Raw genomic sequence first — 1,853 nt, forward strand, 5'->3', positions numbered from 1 at the left:
TGCACTCGAGCCTGGGCAACAAAGTGAGACTCCATCTCAAAAAAAAAAAAAAAAGTACCTATTATGAACTACGTGAAATAATCCTTGCATTATATATTAGGTTGAACTCCATCAAATTGATGTCTTCATGGCTCAAAACTATATTATCAATTTCATATGAGTCAATTAATTAATATTAACATTATTCCTGGAGTTATGTTTTCTCTACCACTTTTCCATCAGCCCCTAGTCCAGATTCATACTGTTCTATTTAGTACAGCTTTGTGATATGTTTTAATCTGGTATAAGTTTGCCCTCATTTTAAATAAAATGTTCTTACTTATTTTTTTCTTCCAGGGTAACACAAGAGAAATTTAGAATTATTTCACTGATTTCCCATGAAAGTCCCATTAAGACTTTTCATTAAAACTATTTTAAAATTACAAATGATATATAAAAGAATTTGTAGAATGTTATTTTTTGCGGTTTCCTAACCAGGACCATAATTTGATGTTGTACTTATTAAAGTTTTTTTTTTCAAGCTAGTTTCTCAGTGAAACTTTTCATTAAAAAAGAATTGGAGTTCCTACTCATTTTTGGTTACATTTTTGCTTAGGCTTTTCATACTTTGTTATTGTTACAAATGAAGATTTTCCTTTCTACTTTCCAGGTTATAATTGTTGGCACATAGAAAAACACTTTTCTAAGATATTGCTTTTGTATCCAACCACCTAATTTACAATCTCATTTTTAACACGGCATTTGCAATTGATTTTTTTCGTTTCTTGTGTTAAATTATAACATCTTCAAATAATGACAGTGTTTTTTAAAAAATCCTCTTCTTTTCCAAGTGTTAAAAAATATTATTCCTAACATTTCTTATTAAAATGACCAGAACTCCCAAATTTTCAAATTAAAAGAGTACTCTGCCTTCTGGTTTTTGTTTTAGTGAGAATGCCTGCTGTGATCTAAATGTTGAAATCCTAACCCCCAAGGTGATAGTATTAGGAGATGGGGCCTTTGGGAGATACTTAGGTCATGAGGAGCCCTCATGATTGGGATAAGTGCTCTTATAAAAGAGACCCCAGAGAGCCGGCTATCCCCTGCCACATGAGAGGACACAGCAAGAAGGTACCATCCATGGGGAAGGAGGAGACTTCCTTGTCAGACACCGAATCTGCCAGTGCCTTGATCTTGGACTTTGCAGGCTTCAGAACTGAAAGAAATAAATTTCTGTTGTTTACAAGCTACCCAGTTGATGGTATTTCATTATCGCAGCCCGAAGGGACTAAAGCAATGCCTTTATTGTTTAAATGTCAGGAATGGCATTCACTGTGATTATAGTAGAATGCTGTTATAATAGTCAGTATAAGTACATTGATGGTCCTAGGCAGTGGTCCTCTGCTCCTGGTTTACAATGAGTTTCCTCTCAGTAATGATGACTGAGTTGTAATTGATTATGCTCAGGATTTATTGAGATGACCATATATTTTCTTTTTTTAAGGAAAATTTCTATTATTTTAATTATTTTTATGTACAGAAAACTCAACAGCGTACATTTAACCCAGTTTAGTCGCAAGTTCTTTAGCCTTCGCCTTTTTTAGCTTGGTGATGCGAGCCACAGACTTGGGACCCAGGACATTACCTCCCCAGTGACAGCAGATCTCATCGTATCTGTCGCTGTAATTGGTCCTGATAGTTTCCACCAGCTTAGCCAAAGCTCCTTTGTCTTCCAAGTTAACCTGTGCGAAGGCAGCAGTGGTGCCTCTCTTCTTGTGGACTAGAAGTCCCAGTCTTGACTTCCCCTTGATAAAGCAGTAAGGGCCCCCCATTTTTTATGACACAGGGCAGGCAGGAAGACAACCAGCTAGAAG

General features: G+C 36.1%; 1 pseudogene; it reads right to left on the minus strand.

Annotated features, from left to right (window-relative positions):
* RPL7AP12 (ribosomal protein L7a pseudogene 12) lies at positions 1,481–1,853 on the minus strand (annotated as a pseudogene).

Source organism: Homo sapiens, chromosome 20 (genome assembly GCF_000001405.40).
Source record: "Homo sapiens chromosome 20, GRCh38.p14 Primary Assembly".
Classification (NCBI taxonomy): Eukaryota; Metazoa; Chordata; class Mammalia; order Primates; family Hominidae; genus Homo; species Homo sapiens.